At 43.7% G+C, this 16,978-nt stretch overlaps 1 protein-coding gene across 42 annotated transcripts in view; it reads left to right on the forward strand.

Annotated features, from left to right (window-relative positions):
* The window catches only part of TSEN2 (tRNA splicing endonuclease subunit 2), a 59,394-nt gene that overhangs the window by 38,122 nt on the left and 4,294 nt on the right, over positions 1-16,978 (forward strand). For 16 of the 42 annotated variants that reach the window (XM_047449029.1, XM_017007296.3, XM_047449032.1 and 13 more), the window contains 5 exons: positions 707-845; positions 10,536-10,572; positions 11,410-11,521; positions 13,218-13,307; positions 14,310-15,306. In XM_047449029.1, the coding sequence (XP_047304985.1) occupies positions 707-845; positions 10,536-10,572; positions 11,410-11,521; positions 13,218-13,307; positions 14,310-14,369 (438 nt within the window). In that variant the 3' untranslated portion in view covers positions 14,370-15,306. Of the gene's footprint in view, positions 1-706; positions 846-10,535; positions 10,573-11,409; positions 11,522-12,502; positions 12,811-13,217; positions 13,308-14,309; positions 15,307-16,978 lie in introns of those variants that run through there. The other 26 variants (XR_007095741.1, XR_007095740.1, XR_007095739.1 and 23 more) reach the window with 8 other exon arrangements.

Here is a 16,978-nt window from a genome sequence, read left to right on the forward strand (position 1 = left end):
TGAAATGTTGTCACGAACTGTGCTCCAGCCTTGGTGGGCTTGTTACAGTGAGCCCCCTGCATGCACTGCTTCCTCTGCCTGGAATGTCCTTCCCAGCCCACCACCACCCCCTCCAGTCCTTTTCCCTCACTACTTGTCATGCTCAAATGCTGCCTTTTCTAAGTCCTCTGGAGCAGTGCTGTGCAATAGAAGGACAGTGAGAGCCTCAGATGGGAGCCATGTGTATAATTTCAGATTTTCTGGTAACCACATTAAAAACATTTTTTAAAAAGCAGGTGGTATTTTAATACAGTATTACACAGTTTATTTAACCCAACTTATTCAAAGATATTGAAATAGTTTATATTCTCTCTTTTTTTTTTTTTTCATACTGAGTAGGAAGTCAGTGTATATTTTACACTTAGAGCCACTCTCAGTTCAGACTAGCTATGTATGGCTGGCAGCTGCCCCACTGGACAGGGCAGGACCAGACCTTCTTGCTAAATTGCTCTGCTGGGAGTGAACCGAGATCACGCCACTGCACTCCGGCCTGGGTGACAGAGCGAGACTCTGTCTCAAAAATAAAATAAATAAATTGCTCTGCTGGGGGAACTGCATTTTCTTCACTGCTTCAGCTCCACACTTAGTATAGATGTTGGTGCCCTGGCTGAACGGAGAGTGAATGCATACATAGTAATGCTTTTTGTTTTTTTGTAAATAACTTTAGGAGCCTTTAACGATAGTGAAGCTCTGGAAAGCTTTCACTGTAGTTCAGCCCACGTTCAGAACCACCTACATGGCCTACCATTACTTTCGAAGCAAGGGCTGGGTGCCCAAAGTGGGACTCAAGTACGGGACAGATTTACGTAAGTAATTCTTGGCGTGGTGTGTGTGAGAATAGAGTTTATATCAGATTCACCCTAGAATATCAAATTGATCTTGTGTGCTGTTGATGATGTTTTCTAAGAAGGTATCCTTTGGGTTTAGATAAGATTATTGGATATTTGGATTGGGTTAAGGGTAAGTGCAAAAAGAGAAAAGGCAGTCTAGGGAGAAGGCCTAGGAGTAGAAGCTTGCAACGCCAGTTCAGGCTTTCCCTCTTGTTTGCTCTATGATCTTAGAAAAGCGTTCTGGCTGAGCGCCGTGGCTTACGCATGTAATCCCAGCACTTTGGGAGGCCAAGGTGGGTGGATCACGAGGTCAGGAGATCGAGACCATCCTGACTAACAAAGTGAAACCCCTTCTCTACTAAAAAATATAAAAAATTAGCTGGGCGTGGTAGCGGGTGTCTGTAGTCCCAGCTACTCGGGAGGCTGAGGCAGGAGAATGGCGTGAACCCGGGAGGCAGAACTTGCAGTGAGCCGAGATCGCGCCATTGCACCCCACCTGGACGACAGGGCAAGACTCCGTCTCAAAAGGAAAAAAAAAGAAAAAGCATTCTATAGCACCCACCCCCACGTCTCTAGCCATGAGATCGGGTAATTTGGGAGAGTCCCTTATCCCCGGGCCTCAGTGGCCTCATCTGCCAAGTGAGAACAATCATATAATTGTAATAATCGCCACAGCCATCATTGAGCACTTGCCATGTGCCAAGCATTTTACTAAGTATTTTACATTCATCATCTTGTTTAATCCTTACAGTAGTCCTATGCAGTGGAGACGCTTACTGTCTTTTTTTTTTTTTGAGACGGAGTCTCGCCCTGTTGCCCAGGCTGGAGTGCCAGTGGCACAATCTTGGCTCACTGCAACCTCCACCCCATGGGTTCACGCCGTTCTCCTGCCTCAGCCTCCCGAGTAGCTGGGAATACAGGCGCCCGCCATCACACCCGGCTAATTTTTTGTATTGTTAGTACAGACAAGGTTTCCCCGTGCCAGCCAGGATGGTCTCGATCTCCTGAGCTCGTCATCTGCCCACTTCAGCTTCCCAAAGTGCTGGGATTATAGGTGTGAGCCACCATGCCGGCCGTATTGTCTTCATTTTCTGATAGGGAGACTACAGTTTAGAAAAAGTAGGTCATTGCCCATAATAGTTTCCAGGGCCAGTAACTTGCAAAGCTGCACTTTGAATTCTGAAGCCCACGCTTTTAGAAATGTCTGACAGTACTGCCTCCCTTGATCTTTTCTTTTTAATTAAATCAATATTTTACTTATTTAATTTTTTTAACTTTAAATTTAGGGCCAGGTGCGGTGGCTCACGCCTGTAATCCCAGCACTTTGGGAGGCCGAGGCGGGCAGATCGCTTGAGGTCAGGAGTTTGAGACCAGCCTGACCAACATGGTGAAACCCCGTTTCTACTAAAAATACAAAAATTAGCTGGGCGTGGTAGCAGGCACTTGTAATCCCAGCTATTTGGGAGGCTGAGGCAGGAAAATTGCTTGATCCCGGGAGGCAGAGGTTGTAGTGAGCTGAGATCACGCCACTACACTCCAGCCTGGGTGACAGAGACTCCACCTCAAAAAAAAAAAATTTTTAGGTTCAAGGGTACATGTGCAGGTTTGTTACATGGGTAAATTCATGTGACAGGGGTTTGTTGTACAGATTATTTGATCACCCAGGTACTAGGCCTAGTACCCAGTAGTTATCTTTTCTGCTCCTCTCCCTCCTCCCTCTCTTCACCCTCAGGTAGACCCCAGCGTCTGTTGTTCCCTTCTTTGTGTTCATAAGTTCTCTTCATTTAATTCCCACTTACAAGTAAGAATATGTGGTATTTGGTTGTCTGTTCCTGTGTTAGTTTGCTAAGGATAACAGCCTCCAGCTCCATCCATGTTCTCACAAAAGACACGATCTTGTCCATTTTTGTGGCTGCCTAGTATTCCACTGCATCCCCCAATCTTAAAGTGAGGGTCTGGAGTAGGTGAGTTCCTCATTCAGCAGATAATGACTAAAGGTCTGCTGTGGGCCAGGTACTGTTTGAGGCATCAAGAATACAGAAGTGAACAGGACAAACAGAGCTGCCTTCATGGAGTTTACATTCTAGGGGGATGGGGGAGACACACAAGCAAATAACTACATGACGTAGTTTCTGCAACAGATAAGCACTGTAAGAAGAAGCAGAGTCAAGGCTACCCAAGGTCAACTGTAGTCAAAAAGATTCAGATATCTGCTGGGCACAGTGGCTCACGCCTGGATTCTCAGCACTTTGGGAGGCCGAGGCAGGTGGGTCACCTGAGGTCAGGAGTTTGAGACCAGCCTTGCCAACGTGGTGAAACCCTGTGTCTAGCACAAATACAGAAATTAGCTGGGTGTGGTGGTGCATGCCTGTAATCTGAGCTACTTGGGAGGCTAAGGCACGAGAATCTCTTGAACTTGGGAGGCAGAGGTTGCAGTGAGCCAAGATCACACCACTGCACTCCAGCCTGCACAAGAGAGTAAGAGTCTCTTAAAAAAAAATAAAAATAGGCTGGGCGCGGTGGCTCACGCCTGTAATCCCAACACTTTGGGAGGCTGAGGCGGGCTGATCATGAGGTCAGGAGATCGAGACCATCCTGGCTAACACGGTGAAACCCCATCTCTACTAAAAATACAAAAAATTAGCCAGACGTGGTGGCAGGTGCCTGTAGTCCCAGCTACTCAGGAGGCTGAGGCAGGAGAATGGCGTGAACCCAGGAGGCGGAGCTTGCAGTGAGCCGATTGCGCTACTGCACTCCAGCCTAGGCAACAGAGTGAGACTGTCTCAAAAAATAATAATAAAAAATAAAAATAAAAAATAAAAATTAAGATATTTTGAGAGATCAGATTCTCATAACTTTCATTATAGTGTATTGTTATAATTGTTCATTTTATTAATGTTCTTAATCTCATACTGTGGTTCTTTTGTCTGCAACTTTATTTTAATGATCAAGTTATACTTTGGATGATGCATAGGGGAAGCTTCCTTAATTTAAAGATATTCTGCCTTATAAGGATGGTTGGACAGATGGATAGATGGATGGACAGATAAATAGAATTTTGAAAACAAAAAAGATAAACTACTCAGTTTACAACTCCCCTGGAGGCCTTTGCCCTCACTGGGACATATCATCTAGAAACAGATGTACAATTAATACATTAATTGTACAATTAATGTGGGACCAGGTCTCTGACCCACACACAGAGTCAGACTGGGCCAGCATCAGTGTTAAAAGTGTCTTCACATTCTCTGCATAAGCAAAGGTTCTTGAGCAGTGCTAGTCTGGGATATGAGGAGCGGCTTCCTAAACTCTACCTCATCTTCAGGCATGGCTGCACAGTTCCTGCTGCTTTTTAACGATATTATTTTAATTTCAAAGGCCAATGACCTAGTCACATGAAGCCTAGAACTGCCAACATAGGCTAAACTCTTAACAATTGTTTTTCCTTAGAGAGCTAGTGACTCCTAATACAAGACCATTGTGAAATTCACACCTTATCAGGGAAACTTTTCCCTTGAATAAATCTTGTCAATCAAATTTCATTCCAGGAGCAGTATTTGGAAGAGGTGATATGGTTCTCAAATCAAGTGCAGCTGCCAACCTAGTTGACCTTATTTGCCTACTGGGGAAGCCAGGCCAGAAGCCAAGAGGGAGCCTTTCCTTACACTCCCTACTCAGCAGCTCCCCTGGCTGCCAGCTCCTAGGGCCAGCCAGGCACCTTGCCTTGGTGTTTTCTTCTGTTGTTTCATTTAATCTTCACACTCCTGTGAGGTCTGTAGTAGTAGCTTCCTTTTGTAGCAGAGGAGTTTGAGGTTTAGAAGGGTTAGGTAAGTTGCTGGAGTACTTAACAGCTCGTTAAGTACACAGATTAGGGCTCTGTGGGTCTATCCTCCCTATCTTCCTACCATACCTAAGTCATGTTGCCTGCCAAGAAGCCGAAAACTAACGCAGGATTTATATTGTCTTATGTACACAGTTATGGTTTGATTTGATTTGGTGTGACCCAAAGGTCTGGTTACTCCTAAGCCTCCTTCCCAGCCAACCCTAGTTAGGGATTTGCATTGACTGATAAGTATGATTTCTGAGCTTTCTGCCAATTTGAAGTCCCAGCACAGAAATGGAATGGTGGGAGCCATTGAAAGCTAGCAGAGTTATAGAATTTCCAGACCCAGAAGAAACCATGACCTGTTGTGACGTCCAGCCCAGAGACTAACAGTTCTGTCCGTGAATGGAGGTCAACAGAGCAGCTCTCTGTTTGTCACAGAACAAGAAGATGTGTCTTCTCCTCATCTTCCTCTTTGATTCTTTTTTTTTTTTTTTTTTTTTTTTTGAGACAAAGTCTCACTTTGTTGCCTTGGCTGGAGTGCAGTGGCACGATCTCGATCTCGGCTCACTACAACCTCTGCCTCCCAGGTTCAAACCATTCTCCTGCCTCAGCTTCCCAAGTAGCTGGGATTACAGGCGCACACCACCACACCCAGCTAATTTTTGTATTTTTAGTAGAGACAGGGTTTTGCCATGTTGACCAGGCTTGTTTTGAACTCCTGACCTCAAGTGATCTGCCTGCCTCGGCCTCCCAAAGTGCTGGAATTACAGGCGTGAGCCGTGGCATCCGGGCCTTTGATTCATTTCTAAGCCACCTCCTGGCTTGTTTTTCTAGTCAAACTTTTGATATATTTTTGTTAATATTCTTCACGTTTACGTACATAATCCATATTAATCCGTAAGTATTTTTCATGTGTACCTCCAAAGAATAGGGACATTCTCCTACATACCATGTAATGCCTGAGAAAAATTAGAATTACTTAATATCATCCAAATATCCAGTCTATACTTAAATTTTTCCAGTTGTCCTTGTAATGTCTTTTGTGGCTATTTTGGTTGTAATTTTTATAGAGATGGGGTCTTTCTGTGTTGCCCAAGCTGGGCTCAAACTCCTGGGCTCAAGCCATCCTACTGCCTGGCTTCCCAAAGTGTAGGATTACAGGCGTGAGCCACCATGCAGGCCCCTGGCTTTGATTTTCTTGTTACAATCACATTTGATTATTATATCTACCTTTTAGTTTCCTAGGGCTTATAAGAAATTACCACAAATTGGGTGGCTTAAAAGCAACAAAGATTCATTCTGTCACAGTTCTAGGGGCCAGAAGTCTAACATCAAGGTGTCATCAGGGCCAGGCTCCCTCCAAAGGCTCTGGGAGAGAATCCATTCCTTGTCTCTTCCAGATTCTTGTGGCCCCAGGCGTTTTGTGGCTGGTTACTGCATCCCTCCAGTCTCTACCTTGTCTGTCTGTGTCAAATCCCCTTTCTCTTATAAGGACACTTGACATTAGATTTAGGGGCCATCCAGCTAATTCAGGATGATCTCATCTCAAAATTCTAAACTTAGTTACATCTGCAAAGACTCTTTTTCCAAGTCACATTCCACATTCCAGGTCACATTCACAAGTCAGGGATTAGGACATGAACATATCTTTCTGGGAGCTGCCATTAAACCTACTGCAATCTCTTTGGTCTCTTTTTTTTTTTTTTTTTTCTTGAAACAGAGTGTCGCTCTGTTGCTCAGGCTGGAGTGCAGTGGCGCGATCTCAGCTCACTGCAACCTCTGCCTCCCACATTCAAGTGATTCTCCTGCCTCAGCCTCCTAAGTAGCTGGGATTACAGATGCTTGCCACCGTGCTTGAGCTAACATTTGTATTTTTAGTAGAGACAGGATTTCACCATGTTTGCCAGGCTGGTCTCGAACTCCTGGCCTCAGGTGATCCACCCATCTTGACCTCCCGAAGTGCTGGGATTACAGACATGAGCCACCGTGCCTGGCCTCTTTTAATCTGACATGGTCACTCTACCTTCTTGTTTCGTTTGTCATGATGTTGACTTTTTTCGAAGTCTTTTAGGATGTTCCCCATTCTCCATATGTCTGATTGTTCCTGATGATCAGACTCAAGCTCGGGTTCTCTTAGCACACGTAGGTGATGTGTGTGCTTATTGGAGTGTGTCAGGAAGTGCATGAAGTCAGGTTTTCCTGCTGTGGTGATGCTAAGTTTGATGGTGGCCATTGTCAATGTCTGTCATATAATTACAGTTTTTCTTTTGTAAAAAACAAGTCATTTGTGGAGTGATACCATAAGTAGTGATACCATAAGTACCATAAGTGATACCATAAGTAGATACCATAAGTATAATCTAATAATTATAATAGTTGTCTGATTTAATTATTGCACTAATCATTTTCTGGTTTTGTCATTCATTCCACACCTCTGTCTAGCATTCTTCTGTAAGAAAGAGTTTTCCTTTTATACTCCCTGTTCTTTCAGACCTTATTTTTACTTTTATTTATTTATGTAGTTTTTGAGACAAGGTCTCACTCTATCCCCGAGGGTGGAGTGCAGTGGCACAATCTCAGCTCACTGCATCCTCAACCTCCTAGGTTAAAATGATCCTCCCGCGTCAGCCTCCTAAGTAGGTGGGACTACAGGCATGCATTACCACAGCTAATTTTTTTTTATTATTTTGTGATTTTAGTAGAGAAAGGGTTTCAATGTGTTGGCCAGGCTGGTCTCAAACTCCTGGCCTCAAATGATCCACCCACCTTAGCCTCCCAAAGTGCTGGGATTACAGGTGTGAGCCACCGCGCCCGGTGGTTTGTTCACACCAGCATTACCACAAACATGCGAATAATCCGTTGCACTATGACAGCATGATGGCTACGATGTCATTAGGTGATAGGGATTTTTCAGCTCCGTTATAATCTTATGGGACCACGGTCATATCCATCATGGTTCATTGTATGTTAACCTGCACCCAGCCAGGTTAATTTATTATTGAAGAAAGAGACCAGGCATGGCGGCTCACACCTGTAATCCCAGCACTTTGGGAGGACAAGGCGAACGGATCCTTTGAGCCCAGGAGTTCAAGACCAGCCTGGGCAACATAGGTAGACCATGTCTCTCTCTCTATATATGTGTATAAAAAAATCTAAAGACAGAAAAAAAGTGTTTATAAAGAGTACAGTAGCACACAGTACTGTCCTAGAACTTCGCATTCACTCACGACTCACTCACCCAGAGCAACTTCCAGACCTGCAGGCTGCATTCATAAGTCCCCTATACAGGTATACGGGTTTTCTCTTTTATATCGTATTTTTACTGTACCATTTCTATGTTTAGATACACAGATATTTAACCATTGTGTTATAATTGTCTACAGATTCAGCACAGTCACGTGCTGAACAGGTTTGTAGCCTAGGAGCAATAAGTGATATCACATAGCCTATGTGTGTGGTGGGCTGTACCATCTAGGTTTTGTGTAAGTACACTCTACCATGTTTACACAACAACGAAATTGCCTAAGGACTCATATCTTAGAACGTATCCTCATCATTAAGCCACACAGACTGTAATTGTTACTAGCATAGGTAACTTTGTGATGCTTACTGTATGCCATACACCGTGCTAATACTTCTGCCTTCACCATAATCCCCATTTTTATAAGGAAATTGACATAAAGAGTTGTCCCATGGTCTTGGCACTGCTGACTTGACCTTGGGTCCATCTGCTGCCAGTGTTCTTGCTTAAACTAAGCTGTGCTGTGTCGGAGCCCATCATCAGAAATTACTTGCCTTGTGGGTGTGAGCTACTTTGAAGCTGTGTAATGCTCCAGGTGCATATTGGATTAAAGATGTGTGTTTGATTACAGGTAATGTCATTTGAGGACTAGAAAAGATCTCAATTTCCCCTGATGTCTTCATTTTAGGATTTTGGAAACGGAGGCTCAGGGAAGTTAATAACTTGCCTAAAGGCACACAACTTGAAGAGGCAAAGATTGGGCAGGGAACAAAACTCCCAAGTTCACTTTTGTTCCAGTACATGGTTTCTTTCCAGTACACTCCATCTCAAAAAGTTGAAAATTGTATGTTTGGATATTTACTTACATTTGTGCCTCAGTGAATTTGAGCTGACTTGTTGAGTACTTTAAATACAACTTAAATAGGAAATACAGAAAGGAAATGTGACCATGGAAAATACAGACGCAAAACAAGACTAAGTGAAGGGTTACTGTGTCGTCCTTGGGGCCCTATATGGTTACTAAAGTCATGCTACAAATTTGGCTCTGAGCTTCCTGAGCCAAAAAGAAACATGATTAGTTACAGGATTGATGTGTCCAAAAAGGAAAATTCTATCCATTCCTCAAGGGAAACAAAACTTTTCCTTGAACTTTTCTTTTTTTTTTTTCTTTTTTTTTTTTTTTGAGACGGAGTCTCGCTCTGTCGCCCAGGCTGGAGTGCAGTGGCGGGATCTCGGCTCACTGCAAGCTCCGCCTCCCGGCCTTGAACTTTTCTGAGCTGGTTTTAGCACAGAGGACAGCTAACAGCTTACAGATGTAATTGTGTCGTTATGGCAATTCCCATAGCTGTAGTTGTATATAAACCCTAAGTCTCAGGGGCTTAACAATAAGAGTTCATTTTTGTTCATGTGAAATCCAACACGGCTGTCTCTGATTGGCGGCCCAATCAACTCCAAAAGATGCTTTAGTAACTGCTTCCTGGTGGCTCCCAGTCTTCAGCACACAGCTTCCAAGGTCACGTTCCATACCTAACTGTACGGGAGACTGAGAGCTGTGGTCTGGCCATGCACCTGGGGGAGAAATAACTGGATTTGGTGAACAGTTAGCCAGTCCCTGCCACAGACCATGTGCCTCTGAAGGGTTCCCTGCCAGATTCCAGAGTCTGTGTGTCAGAGTCCCTGGCCCCAGGCTCCTTCACTGAGTAGCTCTCGACCTCCACAGACTGAATTCCCCCATCTTCTTCAGGTCCTCAGTAATGGAGCAAACTGATACTTGAATGGCATGTATGGTTATGACTTCTATCACTTGACTTTGAATTTCTTAAAAATAGGCATGAGTCTTATTCCTCTTCTTTTACCAACCCCTGTCACAGTAGCTGGCCAGAGTAGTGAGTCAGACACTTTGCATTACGTTGATCTGAAATCAATAACAAAATATTGATCCACATTCTATGAATTTTACACCTCTCAGTATGATTCACACTCACTCTGGAGAGTGTAAGACAAGAGGCAAGGCAAGATTGCCTGTACTTTGACTTTGGAATTTATTTGTAGGGTGAAACGAGGTGTTAGGGTCTTGGCAACAGATTTCTTTACTAATTGTACTTTGTTTCAGGAAAAAAATAGTTTGGATTTTAAAAATAGATGATGGTGGCTGGGTGTGGTGGCTCACACCTGTAAACCCCCACTTTGGGAGGCTGAGGCAGGAGGATCACTCAAGCCCTGGAATTTAAGACCAGCCTGGGCAACATAGTGGGATGCTGTTGCTAAAAAAAAATTTTAAATTAGCTGCGTGTGGTGGTGCACGCCTGTAGTCCTGGCAACTCAGGAGGCTGAGTGTGGAGGATTGCTTGAGCCCAAGAGGGCAAGTCTGCAGTGAGCCATGGTCATGCCACTGCACTCCAGCCTGAGTGACAGAGCGAGACCCTGTCTGAAAAAATAGACCACAGGCATATTGCAGATGATCTGTCTACATATAGATTATTGAGTATTTGCTTCCTTTTGGAGAAGAAAAGTTAATAAAGCAAGCTTTTTGTTGAGTCTTACTCCTCTCTCATTATTTTGAGTGGTTATACTTCTTTTTTTTCTTTCTTCTTTGCAGTGCTATATCGGAAAGGCCCTCCATTTTACCATGCAAGGTTCGGAGTGATTTTTAAATAAACTAATGGGTTAAAGGGACACAAGGAATTTCTGGCCTCTAATTTAACTTTTTGGTGCCATAGGAACAAAAGTCATGTTCTTCCTGGCCTGATACGAATAGATGCTATATGTTCATGCCTCCTTACACACTAATGTCATTATACTATATATAGGATGATGCATAGTTTATGATAATATATGTTCTAGTGTTAAACACTGAGTTAATCTGTGCCGTAATTGTTCATTTTAACATCACTTAGGCCAGGTGCGGTGGCTCACGCCTGTAATCCCAGCACTTTGGGAGGCCAAGGTGGGTGGATCATGAGGTCAGGAATTCAAGACCAACCTGGCCAAGATAGTGAAACCCCATCTCTACTAAAAATCCAAAAAAATTAGCTGGGCATGGTGGCAGGCGCCTGTAATCTCAGCTACTCAGGAGGCTGAGGCAGAGAATTGCTTGAACCCAGGAGGCGGAGGTTGCGGTGAGCCAAGATCGCACCACTGCACTCCAGCGTGGGTGATAGAGCGAGACTCCGTCTCAAAAAAAAAAAAAAAAAAAATTAGTTAGTATTAGTGCCTAAACAGTTGTGTGAATTTACAGCTTTCACATTGGGAAAAGTATTTGTTTTTTCCTGTAAGTTTTGGAATCAGCCTGAAAGTTTGTAACTTAAAGTATGAATTTTTCATTAATATTTTCTCAATAGCAATTTAGGGGAATTTAGAATCAGATGATGCAAATTTCATTTTCTGTATATTTGTTCTTGGTAGGACAAATATTCTTTTTAAACAGATTTATTTCATGATTACTTTTAACATGCTTTTTCTGTATTTTCCAGTTATTCTGTCATTATCGAGCTAGTTGATGACCATTTTGAAGGCTCTCTCCGCAGGCCTCTCAGTTGGAAGTCCCTGGCTGCCTTGAGCAGAGTTTCCGTTAATGTCTCTAAGGTAACACAACATCAGCTTTGCCATTGGAGTGTCACTTAAATGGTTCAGTTTTTTTTTTTTTCTTAAATGTAGTAGAATCAAAAAAGTTAGTTGTAGAAACTTCATAACATTCCTGCCAGTGACATGCTGGAAGATTTGGGGTCATTCGTACCCTTCCCTTATTGCGCTAGAAGTTGTCCTCCCCTCATGTTACATTTTATTGTCCCCTCCCTCCCAACTGCTGCTGAGCTCCAATGACGGAGCTTTGGAGTGTCCCATGGTGATCTGATCTGGGTAGGCATTGCTTCTCTTCCCAGGGGTATCGTTGCTATGTGACTTGTTTTATACTGCAATTTAACATTCACTCATACACATATTCACAAAGGAGTCAAAACATTGAAAGTTTGCAGATCTCTTAGAGAGGAAGGGACTTGATATTTGTTGCTAAGCACTTTCCCACCCTGTTGTTATCCTCATCCTGAGGATGAGAAACCAAGGTTGGAGCCGTTGAGTGGCTAATCCAAGATCACACAGCTCATGTGCATACTCGGGATCCAAACCCACAGCTCTCTGGCTCCCTGGCTTTTGTTTCACTATATCCTTCGTGTTGCCATCAGAGATAGGAGGGACTCAGCTTACACAAGGACTATCAAGAAAGAAAGCTGTGTGTGTTCTCATTACTCAGTGATTTGCTGGCTGAAAACAAATTGTAGATACCCTCTAATTTCATCCTCATGCTGCTGGAGGTGAGGTGGGGCTGAGGCCAGAGGGTCTTGCAGGGCTAGAGATGACTGCCCTTTAGAGCAGGTTAGGTTGCCTAGGCTTTAGCTTGGTCCTATAGAAAATTAGGGAGCCTATACTGTTTCTAGAATTTTTATGCCCATTTTAGGGGACTTGTAGCATATACTTAATATGTCCTCACTTAACATTGTTGATATGTTCTTGGAAACTGCAACTTTAATGTCGTATAACAAAACCGTTTTTTCTTCTCATCATTTCAAGAAAACAATGTTGAAGTTTATTTGAAGACCTGCTGTACATCTGTATTAGTCCATTCTCATGCTGCTATAAAGAAATACTTGAGACTGGGTAATTTATAATGAAAAGAGGTTTAATTGACTCACAGTTCCATGTGGCTGGGGAGGCCTCAGGAAACTTACAATCATAGTGGAAGGCACCTCTTCAGAGGGTGGCAGGAGCAAGAATGAGAGGATGAGTGAAGGAGGAAGCCCCTTATAAAACCATCACATCTCATGAGAACTCACTGTCACAAGAACAGCATGGGGACCGTCCCCCATAATCTAATCACCTCCCACGAGGTCCCTCCATGACACGTGGGGATTGTGGGAACTACAAGATGAGATTTGGGTGGGGGCACAGCCAAACCGTATCAACATCATTTCACTTAAAGTCCGTGTCCAAGAACCTATCAAGGACATTTGAGGACTTACTATATTTAGTATTCTTAATGCTGTGTTTATAATCAATGTATCTGCTTATATCTGTTGCCATGTTCAGTGATTACTAAACGGCAGGTACTTAGTCAGAACGTAAATCCCAGTTATGGTTTCCCCAGGAGGAAACTGATGTGCTCTGTGAGTTTCCACTTGGAGTGCACAGTGAGAGGGACTGGAGACCACCTGCATTTCCTGCTGATGCACCCAAATTTGTACTATTATTTTGTAGGATACAGAAGTGGTTTTTCATTTCTCAATAGGAACTTATGCTGTGCTATTTGATTAAACCCTCTACTATGACTGACAAGGAAATGGAGTCACCAGAATGTATGAAAAGGATTAAAGTTCAGGTGGGTAAACTCAGAGAAATTCATGTCATCCCAAAGATTCTGTGAATCATAGTGTATCTGGAACATGTGGTCCCAAGAAAATACATGAATACAGTTTTGCCTTGGTAACAGAGCCTTCTCAGGCAGGCTCTTAAGTCTCTCACCTTTTCCCCATTGAACCCATTGGACACGAAATCTATGCTGACTTCCTCTATTCCTTAATTCCCCACTTTATTACCTGTGATGTCCCCATCACTCAGCTGAAACTGCTCTCTTACAGGTGGCCTGTGACCCCCTGGCCAGGCCAGGACTTCTCACAGGTCTCATTCCCAGAGACCAGAGGTGTCCCTGTTGACTTGTTCCTGCTTCTGGGCTTCTGTATTGAACCAAGGCGCCTCCTGTCATCTTGGCTTGTTTCTCTCTGGTCTGGCCGAGTTGTCTAGTGTGTGTCCGTGTTTCTGCATTCCCTCCCTCTGTGTGTAGAGCCTTAACGTTGCCATTGGCTCCTCCCAACATCCAGTATGTCTTTGTTGTCGTCCTGTCTTCTTTTCACACCACCCTGCCCCTGCAGACCTGCTGGTCGGTCTCCAGGGCCCCAGCACGTCTTCCCTTCAGTTGGTCCCACTTATCTCCACTAGGCTAGTTTCTCATAAAATGCTCATCAACCTCATTTCTCCCTTCTCAGTAGCTGGCCCCGTTACAGCAATGCCATCACAGACCTAGCTCTAATGTAAAATGCTAGCTTTCATCCCGCCCACCTGTTTCTGAAATGTGCTAGTAGAATACCACAGCAGAGGCAAGCTTAGCTGTTAAAATCTTTGCCTGGTGAAAGTAGATACTGTATGCTTGTAAGGTTTATATTGTTACATTCATTTTCTCCAGATGTTTCTGTTCTAAAGGTGGGAACAGTATCATCATTATATAGACCGCCCTTTGTGAAATGTAGCTGTGGTGTCAGCTGTGGTGTCAGAATGGTCTTACATTTCTGTTTTAAGAAATGGTCTTTTTTTTTATTGGTTGTAGGAGGTGATTCTGAGTCGATGGGTTTCTTCACGAGAGAGGAGTGACCAAGACGATCTTTAACAATTCAACCTCAAATTTCTAATTTCACCAACAACTATTTATTGAGGGCTAGGTAAAAAGTTCTTTTTGTTGTAATCGTCCATTAATTCATAAGTTTTAAAGGGCATGGTGCTCCCAGCACCAGAAAACTATCAGTGTTTTTAAAGATAAATTACACAAGGGAGGAGAAAGATCCCTGTGCTAGGACTGCAGATTCTATACTTGCGTTGGCCTCTAACTCTCCAATCCAGAGCCTCCTGCCTCTGGCGTCAGTCTTTTCCCTCATCCACTCACTGGGGAGATTGGACTAGAGGAGTCCTGAGAGGACACTTCCAACAAGAGACATTTATTCTCTGATTTTACCTGAAAATGGTAGTAGTTTACATTTATACAGTACAGTTTATGAAGCACTTTCATACGCAGGCATCTCTTGTTACCTACATCTAAGCTGTTCCCGAAAGAGTGTTACAGAACACAACAGTATTGTACAATATTCGATAAGCATATCTTCACTGCACTTGTTATAAAAATGAGTGGTGAAATAATGTTTGGAGACATAATGAAAGCGATTAACATTTGGCAAAATATAATAAAGCCTTTTTGTAATTGGTGAGAAAGTCATGAAGACTTAAGTTGCCTCAGGGCATCTGGTGGCAAGAGGAGGGAGATGGGTGGCTGGGCATGGTGGCCCATACCTATAATCCCAGCACTTGGGAGGCCTTGGGAGGCCAAGGCGCATGGATCGCTTGAGCCCAGGAGTTGGAGACCAGCTTGGGCAACATGGTGAAACCTCCTCTCTACTAACAAAAATTATCCAAGCATTGTAGCACATGCCTGTAATTCCAGCTGCTCAGGAGACTAAGGTAGGAGGATCGCTTGAGCCCAGGAGGAAGAGGTTGCAGTGAGCGGAGATTGTGCCACTGCAATCCAGCCTGAGCAATAGAGCAAGGTCCTGTCTCAAAAAAAAAAAAAAAAAAAAAAAAAAATGTGGGTGGTGGGGAAATGGGAAGGGGGAATACTTGCTCTTCGGTGGTAGAATACTTAGGCTAAGGTGGTAGCCTGAGCTGTATCCTCTTAATGGGTCCAGACACTACTTGAATGATATTGCTGCAAACCCTTACATGTTTGTTATATTTAATTTGGATAGCCAATATGGGGTAAAATATTTTGCAAACCGTGATAGCAAACATTTGGAGAGTGGGAGTTGAGATGCGGCAGATGCCTGTGTATTTATCCCTGCAGCAGCCTTGTGAATTCAGGAGGAGGGACCCACAGAGGGGTGTTTGAAGCTCAGAGATGTTGGCGGGTGTGCATCACTACCAGTCATGCACGTGGAGGACTGGACCTGAGATCACTATCTCAGCTGAAATGGCGCTATCCTAAAAATTGCATGCAGTCAGAAATAGAGCCCTGTTTGGTGGTGGTGGTGGTTAACAAGGAAGGCCACCCACCACATCGGGCAGGGCCAGCTTTGTGCTCCCACACAGTCCTCTACCTCGGGTGGGGTGCAGCCTGAAGCCCCCTTACTTACTGGTTATGCCTGTGATTTTGCAAACAGTGTCAGAAAGATTCCATGACGACCACCTATGGATCCAAGGGTAAGAACCTTGGTGCAGTGTGTGGTACTTGGCTTTTAATTCCCCAGAGAGAATTCTGAAAACTGAGTAGTGAAATGAACCTTCTAGAAAGGAATGCTTCAAATCTCAGCTCTGCTTCCCTGTGGTGGTGTGCCTTGGGCAGTTTACTTGCCCTTGATAACCTCAATTTTCTTATTTCTAGCATGTGGCTAATGATGTTTACCTAATCGTGTGGTTGTGTGGGTAAAGGAGAGCCCAAAAAACACTGTAATCCCAGCACTTTGGGAGGCCGAGGTGGGTGGATCACGAGGTCAGGAGATCAAGACCATCCTGGCTAACACGGTGAAACCCCGTCTCTACTAAAAAATACAAAAAAACTAGCTCAGGCGTGGTGGCAGGGCCTGTAGTCCCAGCTACTCAGGAGGCTGACGCAGGAGAATGGCATGAACCCAGGAGGTGGAGTTTGCAGTGAGCCGAGATCGCGCCACTGCACTCCAGCCAGGGCGACAGAGCGAGACTCTGTCTCAAAAAAAAAAAAAAAAAAAAGATTAGCTGGGTGTGGTGGTGGCACCTGTAATCCCAGCTTCTTAGGCTGAGGCAGGAGAATCACTTGAACCTGGGAGGTGGAGGTTGCAGAGAGCCGAGATCAAGCCACTGCACTCCAGCCTGGGGGCAGAGTGAGACTCCATTAAAAAACAAAAACAAAAAAAACCTGAAGTTTCATTGTTACTTATTGACAACTTTAAATTGATAATTTAAAAAAATTTGTCTTAATCATTTTACCTTTATTGTTACAACGTATTTGCTTTCTCTTTTTTTAAGAAAAAAAAATTCTATTTACTTGAATGTGGTTCTTATTTTCACCCTTGTGGAGAATTACTTGGATTAAAAAGAAACAAATTTTCTCTCCTCCCCACCACCCACCTCCCATGTATGATTTTACTAACTGAATTGAATTTTTAAAATCTCATTACAGACTTGAATAATCATCCCATGAATGTTAACTCCCCTAACACTATAACCGAGGCCCATTTCTAAAGTTGATCTTAAAAC

This window comes from Homo sapiens, chromosome 3 (genome assembly GCF_000001405.40).
Source record: "Homo sapiens chromosome 3, GRCh38.p14 Primary Assembly".
In the NCBI taxonomy this organism is placed as follows: Eukaryota; Metazoa; Chordata; class Mammalia; order Primates; family Hominidae; genus Homo; species Homo sapiens.